Source organism: Homo sapiens, chromosome 18 (assembly GCF_000001405.40).
Source record: "Homo sapiens chromosome 18, GRCh38.p14 Primary Assembly".
NCBI lineage: Eukaryota > Metazoa > Chordata > Mammalia > Primates > Hominidae > Homo > Homo sapiens.
In genome coordinates this window covers 14,525,090-14,547,261 of record NC_000018.10, presented here as the reverse complement: position 1 = coordinate 14,547,261, position 22,172 = coordinate 14,525,090, and the positions used below count along the sequence as shown (strand labels likewise).

At 39.3% G+C, this 22,172-nt stretch overlaps 1 protein-coding gene and 1 pseudogene across 2 annotated transcripts in view; both read left to right on the top strand.

The window, feature by feature from the left end:
* Nucleotides 1-3,661: 3,661 nt before the first annotated feature.
* Nucleotides 3,662-22,172, top strand: part of POTEC (POTE ankyrin domain family member C) — a 36,262-nt gene continuing 17,751 nt past the window's right edge. For both annotated transcript variants that reach the window (NR_134878.1, NM_001137671.2), the window contains exons 1-6: nucleotides 3,662-4,636; nucleotides 9,013-9,127; nucleotides 9,288-9,461; nucleotides 12,255-12,361; nucleotides 14,064-14,201; nucleotides 16,709-16,779. Coding sequence is in view for 1 of the 2 variants with exons in the window: in NM_001137671.2 (NP_001131143.1) it covers nucleotides 4,116-4,636; nucleotides 9,013-9,127; nucleotides 9,288-9,461; nucleotides 12,255-12,361; nucleotides 14,064-14,201; nucleotides 16,709-16,779 (1,126 nt within the window). In the remaining variant the exon portion in view is untranslated. The remainder of the gene's footprint in view (nucleotides 4,637-9,012; nucleotides 9,128-9,287; nucleotides 9,462-12,254; nucleotides 12,362-14,063; nucleotides 14,202-16,708; nucleotides 16,780-22,172) is intronic.
* RNU6-1021P (RNA, U6 small nuclear 1021, pseudogene) lies at nucleotides 15,480-15,586 on the top strand (annotated as a pseudogene).

The window sequence follows — 22,172 nt, the reverse complement described above, 5'->3', positions numbered from 1 at the left end:
ATAATTGGTAGAAAAACTAGATCTAAATACTATCAATGTTATATAAAAAAAAAAAAACTCAACAACACCATCAAGCAACAGGATCTTACTGGCATTTATAAAGTGCTCCACCACTGGCTGGGTGCGGTGGGTGTAATCCCAGCATTTTGGGAGGCCAAGGCGAGTGGATCACCTGAGGTCAGGAGTTGACCAGCCTGGCCAACATGGCAAAACCCCATCTCTACTAAAAATACTAGAATTAAGGCTGGGCCCGGTGGCTCACGCCTGTGATCCCAGCATTTTGGGAGGCCAAGGCAGGCAGATCACCTGAGGTCAGGAGTTTGAGACCAGCCTCAATATGGAGAAACTCCATCTCTACTAAAAATACAAAATTAGCCCGGCATGGTGGTGCATGCCTGTAATCCCAGCTACTCGGGAGGCTGAGGCAGGAGAATCACTTGAACCTGGGAGGTGGAGGCTGTGGTGAGCTGAGATCGCACCATTGCACTCCAGTCTGGGCAACAAGAGTGAAACTCCGTCACAAAAAAAAAAAAAAAAATACTAGAATTAGCCGGGCGTGGTGGTGCATGACTGTAATCCCAGCTACTCAGGAGGTTGAGGCAGGAGTATCACTTGAACCCGGGAGGCAAAGGTTGCAGTAAGCCGAGATTGCGCCATTGCACTCCAACCTGGACAAAAGGGTGAGACTCTGCCTCAAAAAAAAAAAAAAAGAAAAAAACGGGCTCCACCCCCTAGCAGCAGAATACAGCAGAACATTTAGGTACCCACAGAACATAAACCAAAATGGACTGTATCCTGGATTTTAACAAACATTAAGAATTTTTTAAAAACTGAAATCCTGTAGAATGTATCCTTCAGCCAAAATGGCATCAAATTAAAAATAAAAAAGTAAAATAACAGCAGAATCTTAAATACTTGAAAAATAAACAGCATACTTTTTTAGTTCTTTTTTTTACATTTTTATTTATTTTAACTTCTGGGGTAGATGTGAAGGATGTGCAGGTTTGTTACATAGGTAAATTTGTGCCATGGTGGTTTTCCCTACCTATCAACCCATCACCTCGGTTTAAGCCCAGCATGCATTAGAGATTTTTCCCGATGCTCTCCTCTCCCTCCCCCATCCACAGGCCCCAGTGTGTGTTGCTTACTTCCCTGTGTCCATGTGTTCTCATTGTTCAGCTCCTACTTATAAGTGAGAACATTAGAAGTTTGGCTTTCTGTTTCTGCATTAGTTTCCTGAGGATAATGGCTTCCTGTTCCATCCATGTCCCTGCAATGGACATGATCTCCTTCATTTTTATGGCTGCATAGTATTCCATGTTGTATGGGTACTGCATTTTCTTCATCCAGTGTATTACCGATGGGCATTTAGGTTGATTCCATGTCTTTGCTATTGTGAATAGTGCTAAACAGCAAGCACACTTCTAAGGAGAATGTCTCAAGGGAAACAAATATATTAAACTGAATAAAAATAAAAATACAACATATCAAACTTGATTTAACACAGTTGACGTCAGTGCTGAGAGGAAAATGTATTTCACTAAATGTATATAATAGAAAAGTAGAAATCTCTCAAATAAAAATTCAAGCTATCACATCAAGAAAGTAGAAAATAGTAGCAAAATAAAATCAAAACAAATATAAGAAAGAATATAATAGGGATAAGAGCAGAAATAAATGAAACAGCCAAAAGAAAACAACAAAGAAAAGCAAAGAAATAAAGCTGGTTCTTTGAAAATATCTATAAAATTGACAAACCTTAACTAATAATGATAAAGAAAAAAGGGATGTCATAAATTACCAATTTCATGAATGAAATGGGCTATCCTTACAGACCTTGAAGACATGAAAATGATAATAAAGGAACGTCATGAACAACTCCATTCACATACATTTGACAACTTGGGGAAAATGGGCCAATTTCATGAAAAGCAGAAACCACCACAAAACTCACCCAATCTAAAATAGGTAATTTAATAGCCCTAAAATGTAAGGACATTTAATTTCTAATTTTAAAGACTCCTGAAGGAGAAATCTCCAGGACAAAATGGTTTTACTAAAGAATTTTATGTACTGCTTAAAGAATTGACACCAATACACACAATCTTTTCTGAAAATAGAGAATCTTTCCCAATTCATTTTATGAAGCTAACATTACTCTGATATCAAAATAGTACAAAAAAGTAAACTATAGCCCGGTAATTCTCTTGAACATGGATACACCAATTCTTAACAACATTAGCAGCAGAACTCAGCGATGTACACAAAGAATTACACATCATGTCCCAGTGACGTTTACTCCAGTGACTGCACACCTAGACATTCATCCCACTGAAATAAAAACTTTTTTTTTGCACTTGTAATTGGCTTCCCCTCTGCTTTTGTTGGCAAGAGCAGGTCGGTGTCCCAGGCTTAGAATCCATTTTTCTCTCTTTCTCTCCGTCTCTCTCTCTCTCTCTCTTTTTTTGACAGAGCCTTGCTTTGTCGCCCAGGTTGCAGTGATGCGATCTCGGCTCACTGCAAGCTCGGCCTCCCGGGTTCACGCCATTCTCCTGCCTCCCGAGTAGCTGGGACTACAGGCGCCCACCACCATGCCCGCTAGTATTTTGTATTTTTAGTAGAGATGAGGTTTCACCGTGTTAGCCAGGATGGTCTTTATCTCCTGACCTTATGATCCGCCCGCCTCAGCCTCCCAAAGTGCTGGGATTACAGGCGTGAGCCACAGTGCCCGGCCAGAATGCATTTTTCCTCCCACACCAAAGCACCTGCAGTATGGGTGAAGCAGCCTGGAGCCTGGCTACATAAGCCTGCACAGCAGGAGGGTCCCAGCAGGAGGGTCGAGGTGCCACTGCCTGGGTCCAGCTCACAGGCTGCCAGGGAGGCTCCGATCTGGCTCCCTGGTGCTGGCAGTGTCCTGTTCCCAGGATCTGCACGTGGGGGTGCCTTCCTGCATCTCCCCATCAGTGGTAGGTGCTCCTCCCAGCTCCCTCTTGCAGGCCTGGAGACAGCGGCCTGCACCTCAACCCTACTGCATGCCAGTGAAGCGAAGCACCCCGGGCCAGAAGCCCCACAGCTGTTGGCCCTGGTTTGGACACCAGGCAGGGGGCACCACAGCAGGAGCTAGCAGCCCAGCCCCGATTCTGTGGCCCCGAGTGCCCCGTTGCTGATGACCCTGTGTTCTGGGTGCGGACCAAGGAGGAGCAGGTGTGGAAGGCGCCTCAGGCAGGCCCTGGGCTCCGTGGGCGTCTTGTGCTCGGAGATTTTGAGGCCATTTGCATCCAGCTCCGCCAACCAGAGCTCTAAGCTGCAGCGGCGGCCACCCGCAACAGCACCACCACTAGTGTCTTGGGGGCTTTCTTCAGAGGAGGCTGTCAGCATCTTCGAGTTCCAGGCGCTCTAGCCCCAGTCCTGCTTCAAGAGGCTTTTTCCCACCACAGGCTTCTCCTCAGTGGCCCGAAAGCTGGGCCAACTCCCATGAACTTTGCCAGTAACGCAAGGCTGTCACTGACATTTGTGGCGCCAAGACTTGCGCACCCGGATTGCACACATCGGCCACTTCCTGCACCACGTGCAATGACGCGCGCACGCCTCACGCGCACGCCGCGTAACGTCTGAGGCGCGCACGCCTCACGCGCGCCCCGCACGCGCGCCCCGCACGCGCATAACGGCTTGGCTTACCTGTAACGGGTACGCTTCGCTTTGCGTTCCTCGCTTGGCCTTGCGTTCCTAGCTTGGCTTGGCGTTAGTCGCTTTGCCTGGTGTTTCTTGCTTGGATTGGCGTTTCCTCCCTCGCATTCCTTTGCTGGGCTTGACTTTTTCTCTGCTGGGTTTGGCATTCCCTTGACTGGGCTGGGTGTTTCCTTGGGAGGGGGGGCTTGGCCTTTCCTGGGGTGGGCGTTGGGTCCCCCTGGTGGGCGTGGGCTTTCCCCGGGTGGGTGTGGGTTTTCCCTGGGTGGGGTGGACTGGGCTCCCTTGCTGGGGTTGGCAAGTTTTGGCTGGGATTGACCTTTCTCTTCAAACAGATTGGAAACCCAGGGTTTCCTGCTAGTTGGTGAAACTGGTTGGTAGACGCGATCTGTTCGCTACTACCGGCCTCCCCGGGCTGTTAAAAGCAGATGGTGACTGAGGTTTGTTCAATGCCCGCTGCCTCTGCTGTGAAGAAGCCATTCGATCTCAGGAGCAAGATGGGCAAGTGGTTTCACCACCGCTTCCCCTGCTGCAAGGGGAGCGGCAAGAGCAACATGGGCACTTCTGGAGACCACGACGACTCCTTTATGAAGATGCTCAGGAGCAAGATGGGCAAGTGTTGCCACCACTGCTTCCCCTGCTGCAGGGGGAGCGGCACGAGCAACGTGGGCACTTCTGGAGACCATGACAACTCCTTTATGAAGACGCTCAGGAGCAAGATGGGCAAGTGGTGCTGTCACTGCTTCCCCTGCTGCAGGGGGAGCGGCAAGAGCAACGTGGGCGCTTGGGGAGACTACGACGACAGCGCCTTCATGGAGCCGAGGTACCACGTCCGTCGAGAAGATCTGGACAAGCTCCACAGAGCTGCCTGGTGGGGTAAGGTCCCCAGAAAGGATCTCATCGTCATGCTCAGGGACACGGACATGAACAAGAGGGACAAGCAAAAGAGGTAACTGGGCCTGGGATGGGAGGAGGCGGGACATGGGGGGATGATGGGGACATACCCTCCTGGCGCAGGGAGGGAGGAGCCAGGCTTTCTCTTCCTCCGCAGGCCCCACACCACCCTGGGTGTGGAAACCTCAGAGAGGTCAGGGCCCAGGTCCCTTTATAAACAGCAACACAAAAAATGTTAGCTGATTTTCAATCCAATTATAATTTCCCTTATAGAACACTAATAGACGGTTTTAAAGTGATTTAACTCGCAAAATTAAGTCAATGCAGCAGATTATTTTTAATGTACACATTTTAAAACAATGTTCTATACACTATAGAAAGGTGTATATTGAGAACTAAGCCCCATAATATATCAACTTCTGGGCTAAATATTTTTCAAATAAAATCCAATATGGATTTTATATCGATGTGCCCTATGTAAATACGTTCTTTACTGAGTAACCTTAAAAGGAAACTGAAATGGGAAGTATGGTTCATATCTTTGAATAGGAAGGTTCGTTTTTCTTAAGATGTGAGCTTTTTCTGTGTTTATCACTTTTACATAAGCCAAATAAAAATAGCAAAGTCTTAGTGTCTTTAAATTGCACATGATGTATTTTATCATTGTGATAAATTGATTTTTTGTAACAGAATGGAAAAAGACTTGCTTTTCCAGATATCAAAATGTGCATGTGTTATTTCCACAAATTGTTTACTAACAGCTGAAAAGACATAAATGAACAGAACAGAATAGGAAATCCAGAAATACCCAAATATATGTAAGAATTTAGCACTTGATAATGGTGATGTTTCATATTGGTAAAACAAGGTGAATTATTCATAAATTAAATGCATGCTGTTTGGAGAAAACTACCTAGATTTTTATGTCACAAAAATAAGTTCCTGGAGTATAGATTAAAAATTTTAAAGATACAAAAGGAGAAAAGTACCAGAAGAAAACACAAATGCCTATTTATATGTGCAAATATTTATTTATTTTTCTGAGACAGACTCTCACTCCATGGCCCAGGCTGGAGTGCAGTGGTGCAATATCAGCTCACTACAACCTCTGGTTCCTGGTTCAAGTAATTCTCTGCCTCAGCCTACCAAGTAGCTGGGATTACAGGCACCCACCACCATGCCTGGCTACTTTTTTGTGTTCTTAAGACGGGATTTCACCATCTTTGCCAGGCTGGTCTTGAACTCCTGTCCTTGTGATCCACCCACCTCAGCCTCCCAAAGTGCTGAGATTACAGTCATGAGCCTCTGAAACCGGCATATATATGCAGATATAATAAAATAAGCTCAATTTAAAATTGGGCAAGGTACTTTTTTGCATGTCTACCAGTGACCTGTGCACATAGGAAAACATAGCATTCCTGCTAAGAGAAGGAATTTAAGTTAGAAGAGGAATGAAAGACTATTTTCTGTTTAAGTTAGAAGAGGAATGAAAGGCCAGCCATGGTGGCTCATGCCTGTAATCCCAGCACTTTGGGAGGCCAAGGCAGGTGGATCACGAGGTCAGGAGTTTGATACTAGCTTGGCCAGCGTGGTGAAACCCGTTTCTACTAAAAATACAAAGAATTAGCTGGGCATGGTGGCATGCACCTGTAATCTTAGCTACTCAGGAGGCTGAGGCAGGAGAATTGCTTGAACCAGGGAGACGGAGGTTGCAGTGAGCTGAGATTGCACCACTACACTCCAGCCTGGGTGATGGAGTGAGACTCCATCTCAAAAAAATAAATAAATAAAAATAAATAAATAAATATAGAGGAATGAAATACTGTTTTCTGTCCACAAAGTTTGTGAGGGTGAAGAACAGTGGTACTTATATTACTTGCTGAAAGTTTAAGTTGCTGCGACTTTTCAAATAGACACTTTGATGGTAAGAACCACATTTTTAAAATGTGTATGCCTTTTACCCATCTATTCCATTATACTGAAATATCTATATGAAACAGACACAGCTGTTTTTCTTAGTATTGCTTAAAATAGCCATGTGTTGAGAACTCATATAAAGATTTTATGAACAAATTTTAGTGCATCCATAGGATGGAATAATATGTAACCATTGAGGGTGTCAGTAGATACAGAGATATGTCGGCATGCAAAGATGTACTTTGCTATATCAAGTGAGAAAAAATCAGTTTGTTATACATATACACAAACAGAATCTGCTCTTGTGTTAGCTGGAAATATGTGGAAAATATAATCAAACTTATTTCTGGGGATTTGTAAGTGAAGTTTTTCCCTTTCTCTTATCTGTGATTTCTGCAATGAACATCTGAAAAGTTTTAGTTAAGTTTCATTAGTAATGAAATAATACTTGGGAAGAGAAGGAATATGCTACTTGCATAGATACAAATAATTTCTCACATTCTATTATTTATTTTTATACCTGTGGATGGCTATCTTCTGTGAACTTTTACCCTCTTCAGAAGTAGAGGGCTTCTGTTTACCTCTTCTGGTAGATTTTATTGTATATACATTTTATTATATAATTATCTTTCATTATATATAGATTAACATGTGTAAATAGTATGGATTAATTATTTTAGTTTAGTTATATATTTATGAAAACTAAAATAGCAAATATAAATGATCGTTACTATCACAAATGTATTGCTCTACTCAACAGGAGTTTTCTTTTAAAAATATTGAACTTCCAACCTATGTTTATCCATTCTTTCAATCCGTTTAGTCATCAAACATAAGCCAGACACCTATTATATGGCAGGCATATTCTGCCATCTCTCAGGATCCTTCCACCTTTGAAAACTTCATGTTTACCTGCTGCGCCTGAGCAAGCTGAGAGAATCAAAATTGGGGCATTAGGACTTAATCTCAATTGAAGCTTTTCCTCCCTGCTTTCAAACAAAAGCATTTCTGAAGGTGGAAAATAGTGAAAGATAACCCTTAACTGCCCTTTTGAAAATGTATAAGGCTTGGGTAAAGACTGTTTTAGCTGTTTTAAGAACTTAAATGTGGTACATAAACAGCATGGAATACTATGTAGCCATAAAAGAAAGAACAAGAGCCTGTCCTTTGCAGGGACATGGATGGTGTTGAAGGCCATTATCCTTAGCAAACTAACATAGGAAGAGAAAACCAAATACTGCGTGGTCTCACTTATAGGTGGGAGCTAAATGAGGAGAACACACAGACACCTAGAGGGAAGCAACATACACTGGGGCCTATCAGAGGGTGGAGGGTGGGAGGAAGGAAAGAAGCAGGAAATAGAACTAACGGGTACTAGGCTTAACACCTGGGTAATGAAATAATCTGTACAACCAACCCCCTTGGCACACGTTTACCTATGTTAACCAACCTGCACATCCTGCACCTGTATCCCCGAATGTAAAAGTTGAAAAAAGCTCCACAAATAGTTTCATAAATCCATTTTAAAAAGAGAAAATTTATAACAGTCTTAAATCCTAATATGAATGATTAGAAATATCTGATGTACATACATTTTATAAATCTAAGTATTGAAAAAAATGAGCCCATGCTATTCATTTGAATTTCAAGTTTTCTTTGGCTTAAAGTTTTTGAAAACCAAAGTAAGAAATAGATTATTTTAGAAAATTGTTTTTGTTTTCACCTCAGCCCTCTTATTCCATAGTTCTTTTAAGAACTAAAATTTATCTAAATGCTAGTCATCTGACTGGAACTGCCCCAGACCTGTTATATTATAACATATTCTACTTAATGTAAGGCACCAGGGATTGTATTTTATGTCTCACTAAGAAAATTATTTAAATGCTGCCAATTATAATTATAGTAAATCATGAATTATAAGTGGTATTTCCGTGTAAGAAATGTTAAAACATGGAGACAATGACCATCTTAGACTCAATAAAATACAGTACAGCGCTACCTGTAATCTTTAAAATGTACCTGAAAGTGTAGGTTTAATTGTATCGTTTCACTTAATTCAAATGTTGTCTTTAGTGGTATTAGTAAAAATTATAATATCTTACAATTTTTGAGCTGTTATTTGTGTTAGGAACTATTCTATATTTTGTGTAGAGTCTTATTTAAGCATTACAGTGGTTTCCTCTGAGAAACTGACTATTTTCATTCCCATTTTATTGATGAGGAAATTGAGACACAAAAAGGCTAAGCAACAGCTAGGAAGCGACAGAGCTTCAAGTAGGATTCCAGCCCAAGTTGAATGTCATCCAAGAGCTGTGCTCTTTCTATTCAAATAGGCTGCTCTTTCATTAATACAGTGAGTAATGAGAGGTAATAAGTAGTGTGCTTTCTTCAAAGGAAAATTGAGTTTGTTTTGAAGGCAGAGTAATAGGCTATTCAGTGTTTGCAACTACATGAATCATTAATGTGGCATTAGCTAGTGCACTACAATTTCCTGAAGTCTTCTCACTCTCATAGGACTGCTCTACATTTGGCCTCTGCCAATGGAAATTCAGAAGTAGTACAACTCCTGCTGGACAGACGATGTCAACTTAATGTCCTTGACAACAAAAAAAGGACAGCTCTGATAAAGGTATGCAGTAGTCAACTATATCAGCGTGAGATGGGTTTGATTTCAATAGATAGCATAAAAATGAGTTTTCTCATTTAAATATAACTAGTTGGTGAAAGCTGTGGAATGTTATTTTGAATTCCTAGGACTTAATAATTTGTTTTTGGTCTAATACTGACAGGCCGTACAATGCCAGGAAGATGAATGTGTGTTAATGTTGCTGGAACATGGCGCTGATCAAAATATTCCAGATGAGTATGGAAATACCACTCTACACTATGCTGTCCACAATGAAGATAAATTAATGGCCAAAGCACTGCTCTTATATGGTGCTGATATTGAATCAAAAAACAAGGTATAGATCTACCAATTTTATCTTCAAAATACTGAAATGCATTCGTGTTAACATTGACCTGTGTAAGGGCCAGTTTTCCGTATTTGGAAGCTCAAGCATAACCTGAATGAAAATATTTTGAAATGACTTAATTATCTAAGACTTTATTTTAAATATTGTTACTTTTAAAGAAGCATTAGAGGGTACAGTTTTTTCAGTGCACTTGTGGTTAATGCTTTTTTAAAAAAAACACTGAATTTGTAAAAGGTAATACTTTTTTTTTTCAATTTTTCCCTGCCAACTTTTTTTTCCCTAACGAATGTAAAATGACAAAATTTGCCCTGGAAATAGGTTTTACATTAAAACTCCAAGAAAACTTAAACATGTTTCAGTGAATAGTAATCCTGCTACTTTGACAAATTCCTAAAAAAACACTAATAGATATGAGGTGATGTATCTCTCAGTGGCAAGGCTTAAGATATTTCTGATTGCTCATGAGGCAGAAGTGGAAAGGGAAAAATGCAGCAATCAGAAATATCAAGGCCAACTTGGAAATTAGGTAATGGGGGAAAAGACCATGAAGAGGTTTTTTTTTGTTTTTTTTTTTTTTTGTGTGTGTGTGTGTGTGTGTGTGTGTGTGTGTGTGTGTTGTTATTGTTGTTCATTCGTTTCCTTTATATGGTGAGACAGGGTTCTTTTCCATTTTAGAGAATGACAGTTTTCAGTTTGGGAGAGGGAGTTAGTGGGTTGTAAACTGCCTAGAGATAAATTTTAGGAGGCCTCTGAGGAACCAGATTGGCAGTGAATATGTGGTAATGTAGTGGGAAACCCTTGAGTAGAAGGAATAACAAGTAATTAACCAACTTAGTATCCTATTCTGGTAGAAATGGCCAATTAGAGTCTCAACTCTGCTTTCAATTCTAGAATGTCTTGATGGGAAGGTGGGAGATAAGAGGCTTATAAGTAAAAAGATCAGGTTGGATTTTGAGTTTACTAGACCTTGTTCTACTCTTACTGGGGAAAATTTTGTGGTGTTTTCAGCAAATGAGTCTCTCTCCTACTCTTTCCTCTTTTTGGCCAGATCCTCAAATGATAAAGGGAATTGTTTATGTGGATGAGAGATGAGACTGAAATAATTGTCTATTGCACTAGCTTCCAGCTAGAGTTGTGCATTCCAGTTACCTCAGGAAAATTTTTAAATAATCTTCAAGTCTAGGTTTTCCCCTGAAGATTTTGATAGAGTAAGTCTAATAAAGCCTGGATATGTATGTTTAAAAATGTTTCCTTGAAGCCAGGCATGGTGGTGCATGGCTGTAGTCCCAGCTGCTAGGGAGGCTGAGGTGGGAGGATTGCTTGAGCTTAGGAGTTCTAGTCTAGCCTGGTCAGCATAATGAGACCCTGTCTCTAACAACAACAACAACAAATTTCTCAAAATCCGGATACACTCCTGCTTAACCACTGAATACATAAGTGTAATATGTAAATTCTTATATCTCAGAAACTTCAGATATTTCTAGAAGAGTTGGAGTTGGATATGTGCTAATTCCTTTAAATCTTTCCTTTCCAATAACATTAATCTAAATTTTTGTTTGTTTTTGAGATGGGGTCTCACTCTGTTCCCCAGGCTGGAGTGCAGTGATGCGGTCACAGATCACCACAGCCTTGACATCCCTAAGCTCTGGTGGTCCTCCAATCTGTTTTTGTATTTTTTTTTTAGTAGAGATGAGGTTTTTGCCATGTTTCTCAGGCTGATCTTGAACTCCTGGGCTCAAGTGAATCACCCACCTCAGGCTCCCAAAATGCTAAGATTACAGGTGTGAGCCACCATTCCTGGCCTAGTCTGACTTATCTCTGTCGTTGGGACATTAAAATGAATATTATTGGCACTATCTATCAGCTTACAGAATAATAGCTTTTCCTTTCTACCATCAGTTATTCACTGCCATTCAGAAGGTCTTTAGAAATTTGCAGTGAGTAGTCTTCCAATAAGTAGAGGATGGCTCTCTCAGGACTTTGTGTCCCTTTGTTCAATCATTCAAGTGCTTAGGTCAGTAAGTCGTTTTTAAGAGCAGAGTTTTCTCAGAATTGTAGCAAATTCTAAACCTTTTTTTTCAATTGAAGCTGTATTATCCAGTATGTCTCTTAAGTTTGTAGAGCTTTGGCTTAATCAGGATGGCAGGTTTAAACACTAAAAACCATGGAGTTATTAAGAATACAGATAGGAAATCTCTTAGTTTCAGTAATCCTATGAACTGATTATCTATCTAGTTAACAATCTGGAAAAATTAAATACAAATAGATTTTAAATGAATAAATGTTGGAAAAATTCTTGAAATGGGCAGTGTGATTATTAATAGCAATATTTATTGCACGTTGGAGCTTGAACTTTGGTAAAACATGTGAAACTAAAGAAATATTTTACATTCAAATTCTTGCTTTATACACAACAATTTTGTCTTAGGGTTGGATAATATAGAGATAAAAGATACAGCCCCCGCCCTCAAGAAGCTTTTTGTTTAAATGAAAAAAAAAATCATCCAAAAGTGCCATGCCAAATGCTCGTTTAGAAACAAAGAGTCTTGGAAACAGTAAATGTTAAAGTGAGTTTTTGAGATGATCAGATTTAATGTGGTGAGGCAGAGAAGGGATGTTTCCAAGGGAAGGAGTGGCATGTGGGAAAGTACAGAAGAGTGAGAAGGAAGTGACCAAATTTTATTTACTTTCTGTGAGTGTAAGTCCATAAGCTTCCAGTTCAGTTGAGAAATACATAATTTTTTGAATTACATATTGTTTTTGTTTTATATTGTTTTACAGTGTGGCCTCACACCACTTTTGCTTGGCGTACATGAACAAAAACAGCAAGTGGTGAAATTTTTAATCAAGAAAAAAGCTAATTTAAATGCACTTGATAGATATGGAAGGTATGGTTATTTCTTTTAATCTGTGTGTTGTTCTAGATTGATAGCAGTCACTCAAGTCATAAATAATAAATTAATAAGATTAAATTATACTTATTGGGACATAGTGATCAGTATCAACACAAATCAGTTAAGTAGAAAAGCAATTATTTGGACTGGGCAACATAAAGAACTGTTTTAGTAGGATTCATCTTCTCTTATTATATTGACTGATGTTATTTGTTGTATGATGTTTTTGGTTACATGATCTTATGTTAGCTAAAGGGATTTCATATTAATTTTATGAAGTTTGAACTTTAACTTTCAGTTTACTTTATGACTCAGTATTGAACTTCTTAACCCTTTCTAGTAGGTTTTAACCTCTGTATCTTATATGTTTTTCCACTAAATATGCTGTATTAAACATAAATAGGAGTTGAAAATCCTTTTATCTTTTCAACGACTCTGCTTTAAGTTGCTTTCTTTGAAGAATATTAATGTTAGCTTATCGCCACATGACAATTAATTGCTATTCCCACATACTGTGGGTTCAACAGCTTTTTTTCTTCTTTATTTCCAGTGTATTTTGATGTTTTTATTTTTAGTTGGTATGGAGAGAGGGAGTGAAGATAGTTTTAAGTGGATACACTTTTCCTTTAATGAAGGCAAGCTGTAGGTGGGTGATAAAGAGAAAAGATGAAATTGGAAATCATCATTCTCAGTAAACTATCGCAAGAACAAAAAACCAAACACCGCATATTCTCACTCATAGGTGGGAATTGAACAATGAGATCACATGGACACAGGAAGGGGAATATCACACTCTGGGGACTGTGGTGGGGTGGGGGGAGGGGGGAGGGATAGCATTGGGAGATATACCTAATGCTAGATGACGAGTTAGTGGGTGCAGCGCACCAGCATGGCACATGTATACATATGTAACTAACCTGCACAATGTGCACATGTACCCTAAAACTTAAAGTATAATTAAAAAAAAATAACAAAACAAAAACAAAAAAAAAACTAGCTGGGCATGGAAAAAAAAAAAAGAGAGAGAAAAGAGCTAGGCTTTGGATTCACACAAGACTGGATTTAATTCCTAACTTTCTTACTTGCTACGTGTGTGACATTGGGAACGTTATTTACCACCCAATATGTTGTCATATGTGAAAAGTAGGAGAATATATCCTTCAAAGTTGGCTGTGCATAAGCAAGAAAGATACATGTGGCATTTAATTCAGTGTGTAGCACATGCTTATTGGCATCATTAACTGAAACTCCTGTGACTACTATTCTTACCATTATTATTAATATTACTGCTTTCAGCATGCAGAGAGCTCTTATTTATCTTACCCCCTAGCTAATTTTCTATTACAGCATATCAGTCTAGGGAAGCTGTGACAAAATCTTCACTTAAATCTTTGTCCACTTCAGATAAGTGGCCCTAGCATTGTTTCTTGCCCATCAAAGGACTTTAAATTAGTAGCTTCTGCTATGCAATACCCCACTGAGATAAGAGGTTTCCTTTTTGTCCCTTCCTTTTAACCTTGGTGGTATTTTACAAAGATGAACTCTTGAGCACCCAAGATGCTTATGTCTTTTAGTGCATGTAAATGTTTGATTCTGCATGGACAGGCAAGATGTTAAATTGGTAAAGTATATCAAATTAGCTTTTAAAATAACTTTATTACAGTTCCTAAAGGAGAAATTATCTCTGTAATTTTAGAACTGCCCTCATACTTGCTGTATGTTGTGGATCAGCAAGTATAGTCAATCTTCTCCTTGAGCAAAATGTTGATGTATCTTCTCAAGATCTATCTGGACAGACGGCCAGAGAGTATGCTGTTTCTAGTCATCATCATGTGTAAGTGTTTACATGAAAAGGCTAGTTAATGCTAAATTGAGGTTTAAAATAATTATAACAATTGCATCTTACATATCAGGTGAGATGTCATAGTTTGGTTCAGGTAGTTTTAGATTGGCAGTGAGTTAGTCCCCTGCATCAGCCAGAAATCAGACAAAAAGCAAGACAAGTTAGAAGTACCAATGGGTGCAGGATTCTTTACCTCAGGACTTTTAAGACCTTTATCCTTAGAGATCCCAATATTGTTCATTTCATCCAAGTATAACACCTATGCATGGGATAAAAAAGAGTATCACATCTTTGATTTTTCTGATTAGTTATTTGGGTCTTGAAATGTCCAGTTTAGCAGAAAGTCTTGTACTGTCTTCTGGGGACTATCTCCTACATACTCCTTGAATTTTTCAAGAACCAAAGGGGTTCACTAAATCCAAGGAAGACAGTCCCTTTTATCAAGTCAGAAGGAGGAGAAAAAAAAGGACATTCCAATCATTCTGTTGTTTCCATTGTTTTTGTTGCTGCATTGTTGCCACTCAAACTGGTTCTGCTGCCTGGTAATTGTTGACCTTTGACACCAAGATGCCCTTACTGATTCAGATCCCTCAAGTCTTCATGGGGATTCATACAGTGACTTTGAAGTTACAACATTTTTTAGTTCCCTTACCTATGCTTATATGCTCAGCCATTGTTCCCAAAGCACCAGCACCCTGCTCTGGCCGCTGGGCATCCTGACTTTATCCGCACACAAAGTGAGCAAATTGACCCTTCCTCCTGTATTCAGAACCTAATGTGGAACCCACATCTTAGCCAAGAATGAGCTGAGACCTTCATGGTAAGAGATCCTTTCAGGCCGTTGTTGGTCTTTTCTCTAGCAGATATGAGGTGGGCTTGTTATAAAGGGTCAGAGGGGTTCAAATAATGTGGCAGAAAGAGATCAGTGTTTGTTTCTTCTTCTTTGCTACCAGATCTATACTGTGAGGCACCTTTATATCCTGTGTAGAACCTTAGGCAGTAGAAAGTCCCATATGAGCCTTCCCCAAGCAGTGGCTCCCAGCTGTGGTTGGCCCCTTGAGTGATCTGATTTACATGATAATGAAAATCATCCAAGCTACTTCCATCTCTAGCTCAAGATTTTAAAATATTTTCAAATTGTACCTCACAGGAAGCCATTGAAGAGAATTCTCAGAATCTCAAGTAGGTTAAGTAAGTAGTGATGAGTCATGGACAAGAGCCAAGCCTTGTCCATGACTCATCACAAATCATGTGTAAAAGTAGGGCTTTGTGCCTGCTTTGGCGGCACATATCCTAAAATTGGAACAATACAGAGAAAGTTAGCATGGCTTCTGCATAAGGAGGCAGCACAACTCTTTGAAGCATTCCATATTTTGTGCAGTCACTGGAAGATCATTTCACTATTTGCTGACTAGCTCTAAGGAAACAGTGTGAATCAAAGCAAAATGGGTGCCACCAAAATATCGAAATGTGATTTGTGCTGCAAAAATAGTCATGGAAGATGGTCTGTGAGATGATTTAGAGCTGAATAATGTGTTCGATGCAAAATATATTATAAGTATGTATGTCAAAAATTAGAGAATGTCAATTTGCAGCTTCTTCATGAAAACGGAAAAAAATAAAAGTAGAGTTTTGGTCTCCCATGTCAGCTGGAATTGAACATCAATATAAAGCATTATCCTAACAAACATCTGCTGGCTCAGAGTTTGAGTCTATAGAGAAGGATCATTGCTCCAAGCCAGGTCTTAACATCCATTGGTTTTTCTGCCCTTAGCACAACAAATTGGTCAACTCCGTAATAGTGGACAATCACATTATCTACTTTAATGAGAGATTTATGAAAAAATTTAGTTACAAACTATGACACAGTTGAGATGCCCTGAATTATAAGCCATAAGGAGTAGGACAACTAAGAAGCAAAATTAGGACTTAATGACATTTTCTGAAAACTACAGCATTTGCATATTAGAACCTATGAACAAAATACACATGGGGTTTTATTTGGGATTCCAAGATAATTTTAGTCATAAAGTTTAGGAACAGATTATTCCATTGCTTTACTATTTCTCTGAGCATTTAAAAAATGTTACCTTGTTAAATCTTTATAACAACCTAGTGAAATAAGGCAGCAAAGTCCTCACTTTGTAGAAGAAGACATTGAGCCTAAGAGAAGAAATTTGTTCAAGAACAAATAGCTGTTCATTATGGAGCTAGGACTTATGCAGAGTTGGGACACTTTCTATAATGTCATGCTAATGCATGCTGATTTACTGGGTCACAGTGCCCTTGATTTATGAGCATTTCACCTAATTTTTTTTCTGCTTTAATTAGAAGCTTAAAGAAAAGTTTGTAGAATGTACTCATAAGTGTATGGGATAATACTGTTAAATTCTGATATTATGATATTGTTTGAAATACTCTAAGAATTTTACATTTGGTAAGTATTTTTTATATCAGTATTAAAATAGTAATTTGGTTTATTACATTTTTATACATAGAATTTGTGAATTACTTTCTGACTATAAAGAAAAACAGATGCTAAAAATCTCTTCTGAAAACAGCAATCCAGGTAAGACTTGTGATAATGAATTACTTTAGGTCAGTTGTCCACAATGTTTTTGGCAGCAGGGACCAGTTTTGTGGAAGACAGTGTTTCCATGGGCTGGGGGAAGGTGGGGATGGTTTCAGGATTATTCAGCCATGTTTCATTTATTGTGCTACTTTATATTATTATTACATCATAATATATAATGAAATAATTATACAACTTACTATAATGTAGAATCCGTGGAAACTCTGAGCTTATTTTTCTGCAACTAGATGGTCTCATCTGGGGGCAAAGTGAGACAGTGACATATCATCAGGCATTAGATTCTCATATGAAGCACACAACCTAGATCCCTCAGATGAGCAGTTCACAACAGGGTTCATGCTCCAATGAGTATCTAGTGCTATCACTGATCTGACTGGAGGCAGAGTTCAGGCGGTAATATGAGCCATGGGGTGTGGCCGTAAGTACAGGTGAAGCTTCCCTGGTTTGCCTGCTGCTCACCTCCTCCTGTGTGGTGTGGTTCATAATAGTCCATGGAGTGGTACCAGTCTGTGACCTGAGAGTTGTGGGCCCCTGCTCTGGGTGGTCCTACCGTAGATAAAAAAATAAAAGTAAGGAATTTTTGATCACAAAAGAACGCCAAAGCACAAGTCATGTTACATATCCTTGTCCCAACAAGGTCTCACTCTTACTGACTTCATTCCTCCTCATTTGAAGTTGGAAAGAGATACATTTACTTTGTTGGAACAAGATGTGTTCTTCTACCTGCTGGTCAATTGTCTTGATAACAGTAATTTTGTTAGAACAAGATGCTCTGCTACCATTTACCAAAAGATTGTCATAATAAATATACAAATTGCCCACTTCTAGGCTCAGCAGATTATAATAAAAGTAGAAAAATGTTTCACATTAACAAAAATACTAGTATGCCACCTGGTTGTGGACACCTAATACATTGTATAATCCAAACTGTATTAGGACACCTTTAATTTAGCCATCTATTTATCAAAAAGCTTCTGTAAGTTAGGTTTTATAAGTTGCAGGAGACAAAGATGGAATAGATGTAGTTTTGATCCTTAAGGTGCTCATAGTAGAGCTGTCTCTATTTCATTTCTGTGCTTTTTCAACAGAATTTACAAAGAAAACATTTCTATGTTTTCACTTGTCCACTTAACAAATAACTATTAAATGTCCTTTAGATACTAATCATTTTTCTAATGTTACAGAACACACACAATTAAAAATACAGACAGGAGCTTGTTATTATCATTGTCATTTTTATTATTTTACTACTTTATTCAGTGCTTACTGTGTGCTCGATGCCCACTGGAAGCTTATAATAATGATTTATTATATATTAATTATGTGCCAGACATATGTGATGAGGAATGAAAGTTTTGAAAAAAAGTAGGTATGATTCAAGGTAAGCATGCAGAGTGAGAAGAATTTTTCTAGGTAAAGAAGCAGAAGAATAATGTTTGGCAGAAGGAACATGCAACAAGATTGTGTGTTTGCCAGAAGAACATCTAATGAGGTTGCCTGTTTGGCAGGAAGAGCAGCAAGTGCAAAACGCAAGATGCTGAGTGAACCTTGCAGGGTTTCTGAGCAGTTCACTTTTGCTAGTACCAAAAGTGTGAGACACCAGAGGTTGGGAATAAGGTGAATACTTAGCTAAGGCAAGTTTATGATAGACTTTTTAAATACTATAGAAATGAGTAGGTCTTACCCTGTGGGCCACGGGAAATTTACCAGGTACAATGCTTTGGACTGTAAATACTAGATGAGCAGTGGCTAAAACAGTAGGAACCAGAGTTGTTTTGGTTGTTCAGTGATATCCTAGGATCCCACTTGTCCCTCTTTCAGCTGTGCTGTTGGCAGTGTTTTATTCATGTCTCCTTTCATGGTTGGCTAATCCGCAGCAGCTCCAAACATCTTGTTCTCACAACACAACATTTCAAGGGCTGCTTTTCTTCACATGTGTCTTTTAAACAGGGAGAAAACTTAGAAGCATGCAAGGGGCTTCCTGTAACATTCCATTGGCTGGGTCACACCACATGCTCATTCCCAAACCAGGCACTGGGAAGGCAAATACATGATTAACTTAGAATAAACATTTCTCTTTCTGAGGCTGAGGAGGGGGATTGGGATAATAAATATCCCAATAGACTTGTGTTTCTTCTGCAAGAAAGAATAAGGAATGGCTATTGATAGGGAGCCAACAATGTGTGCTGCAGGGGCTCATTGGAGAAATTTGAGCAGGGAAGTTACAAGATTAAATTTGAGTATTAAGGCATATTCTGCTTATGGTGTAAAATGGGTTAGCAAGCTTTTTCTGTAAAGGACCAGGTGGGAAATATTTTAGACTATGTGGTCTCTGTCATATCTACTTAACCAGGCTGTTGTCTGTTGTTGTAGTGTGAAAGCCACCATGATTATATGTAAGCAAACAGGCATGACTGAGCTCCTATAAAACTTTATTTACAAAGCCAAAAGGCAGACTGGATTTGGCCTGTGGCCTATAGCTTGCTGGGATTGAGGGAAGATAACCATGTAAAGAAACCAGGAGACAAAGGAAGCTTTTGCAGTAGTCAGCTATAGTTTCCATGTCACACACCCTTGGACTAGTATCAATGTATTCTAAGGTTTTCACCTGCCCATGGCAAAATAAAGTTTGGAATCTCAGTTACTCATTTTAATGTGTTGGCCTTTTTTTGGTGTTATGCTTTTTTCATTTGTTTTGCTTAATTTTTTTCATGTAAGAAATAACATTAATAGTTGGAAGGGTTGTTTGTAATAAAAGCCATTTTGTAAATGTTTATGTTCTCAGTGGCAGTGGTAATATAAAGCAGAGGAAGAAGAGAGGTATAGTCAATATGATTTAGTGATAATTGAATGAGAAAGGTTTGGGGGACAGAGAGAAATGTCAGATAATTTACAGGTTTCCACGTTGTACACTAGTATTTAACCTGGACATGAGGAAGGAGTAGGAAATTTTCTCCATGACCTGTGTGAGTCACAGCTTCCAGAAAAGAAAGAGAGCAAGGAGCATATTAAGGAAGCACAGCAAAGTCAGTCCTAGAGTGCCCTGCTTGACTTCATGTCATAGTTCTGACTTCTAAAAAATCATTTTCTGCAAAATGTGCTTTGTGTTTTTCCCCTCTTGCAGCCTGCAGCCAAACAGAATCCCTTTAGCAGGGCATTTTTCTGTTCTTCCTTTAAACAAAGCAACATATAAATAACAAAAAAGAAGTAAGAGAAAGAGTGTTTTTTGTATAGGCTAGCATTTAACTTAAACTTGAGAGCGAGTACTAGGATTATACTTAGAATTTATGGACTGGGTAGGAAGACTAGATAGAAATCTAAATATTGCTGACTCAAACACAGTGTGATTTTTTGCTTTATTGTCACAGCTCTGAATTCACAACTATTAGTTATATTCATATACACTATAACTTTATAAAGCACCTTCCCAAATATTAAGTGATTTATTATAATTTCTATGACTTATTATAGAATTGACTTTCCAAGTGTTCATGAGAATTATTAAGAATTTGCTACGTAGTATCATCTCAGCTGTGTCCACATGAGCTAGCTGTCACCTTGTCTTAATGAATAATGGCTCACTAGGAATATTGGTTTTGGCATTAAAATGATCTACATCTAAATACAGATAGGACCAGGGACCACTCTTGAACGTTAATGTCTAAGCATCTTAAAAGTACACATAAGGCTTTCATAATCTGACTTCTGCCCTACTCTACATCGTTAGCCCTTTTCCCTGTGTGCCCTTTCTCTGGCATTACTGAGTGGCTCTTAATGCCCTACTCACTCCTCCTTCTATTGCAGGCAAATACTTTCACTCTTTCAGGCCTCGCTCCTGCTCTTGCTGCTGTGTGGCATGCTGTCACCCTTTCTTGCCCTCTACCACTTTTAATCTAGCTAGCCTCAATATTTGAGTCTCTGCTTGGGCAGGTGTTCTAGAAAAGCCATCCCTGACAGGCTTTATTTTCATTCTTTTTAAACCCTAACACCTAGCATGTATGTAGCAGGTCTCAATAAGAAATTTCTGAGTAAAATAAAGACTGTTTTTACAAAGATGATGTGCAAGACTGTCCTCTGCAGTCTTGGAGTAGAGGGGACAGACCTGTGGAAGAATAATGTACAGTTCAGGTGGTAAAGGTGCAGTAGAAAAATCAGTGAGGTCCTAAGGCTACCTCAAGGAAGGAGTTACCTGTTTATCTGGGGAAAGATCTGCAGAATCAAGGAAGACTTCCCATAGCATTGTTTTAAAAGATGAAAATAAGGCTGGGTGTGGTGGCTCACACCTGTAATTGCAGCATTTTGGGAGGCTGGAGCAGGTGGATCACAAGGTCAAAAGATCAGGACCATCCTGGCCAATGGTGAAACCCCATCTCTACTAAAAATACAAAAATTAGCTGGGCATGATGGTGTGTGCCTGTAATCCCAGCTTCTCAGGAGAATGAGACAGGAGAATCATTTGAACCAGGGAGTCAGAGGTTGCAGTGAGCTGAGATTGTGCCACCGCACTCCAGCCTGGTGACAGAGCAAGACCCTGGCTCAAACAAAAAAACAAAAAAAAAGAAAAATGAATATAAATTTGTCATAATAGTGGATGGAAACATTTTAGATGTTAAGAAGACATTGTACACTAACAAAGGTGTCAGTAGTAATTTTGGAAATCATTTGTAAGATACTATTTTTGCAGAAAACAGGAGGCAGGAGAGACCCAGTGGGTCAAACAAGAGGATTGTATTTAGGTGCACACCAGCTCAGCGGATTTGCATCAAAAACCTGAGCCCTGAACAAAGACAGGGCTTGGCTTATATAGGCAAACTTACAGAAGCAGAACAAAGGCAGTTAATCATATAGTGACAGTTTTGCAACCACTGCATAGCTTGTGACCTTGCAGCTGCATTGAAGGAAAACAAGAATTTGCAAAATATATGCATTTGTAAAAATAGCTATGAATAAATGCTGAGGGGGAGGGGAGATGGTAAAGGAATTTGTTTTCTTAACTTTTCTCTGGGATGTCTGGAGCCCATACCTGTGGGCTCTGGCTTCTCAGACAGGGTAACCACGACCTTTCCTGGGCCCTGCCTGATACTATCCTTAGAGTCAGAGTAGCTAAGTGCAGGAAAACTTGTTTCTCTTTAAAACTAAATGTTCTTTTCTTTACATTTCCTGCTTCACTATTAGGAAGTGAACAACATACTGAGTTACCTTATATGTTTCTACTGTATTTTAAAGTTGTGTTTCTGGTGGTTTTGTTCATTTATGTGGGGTGGATGAATTTGTGAGTGAATCACATCAGGTGTCTCCCCAAGTGGTTTGTTGAAGTTTTGGAGAATTATTTCCTAAGTAACTATTTCATGAAAGACTAAACACTCAAT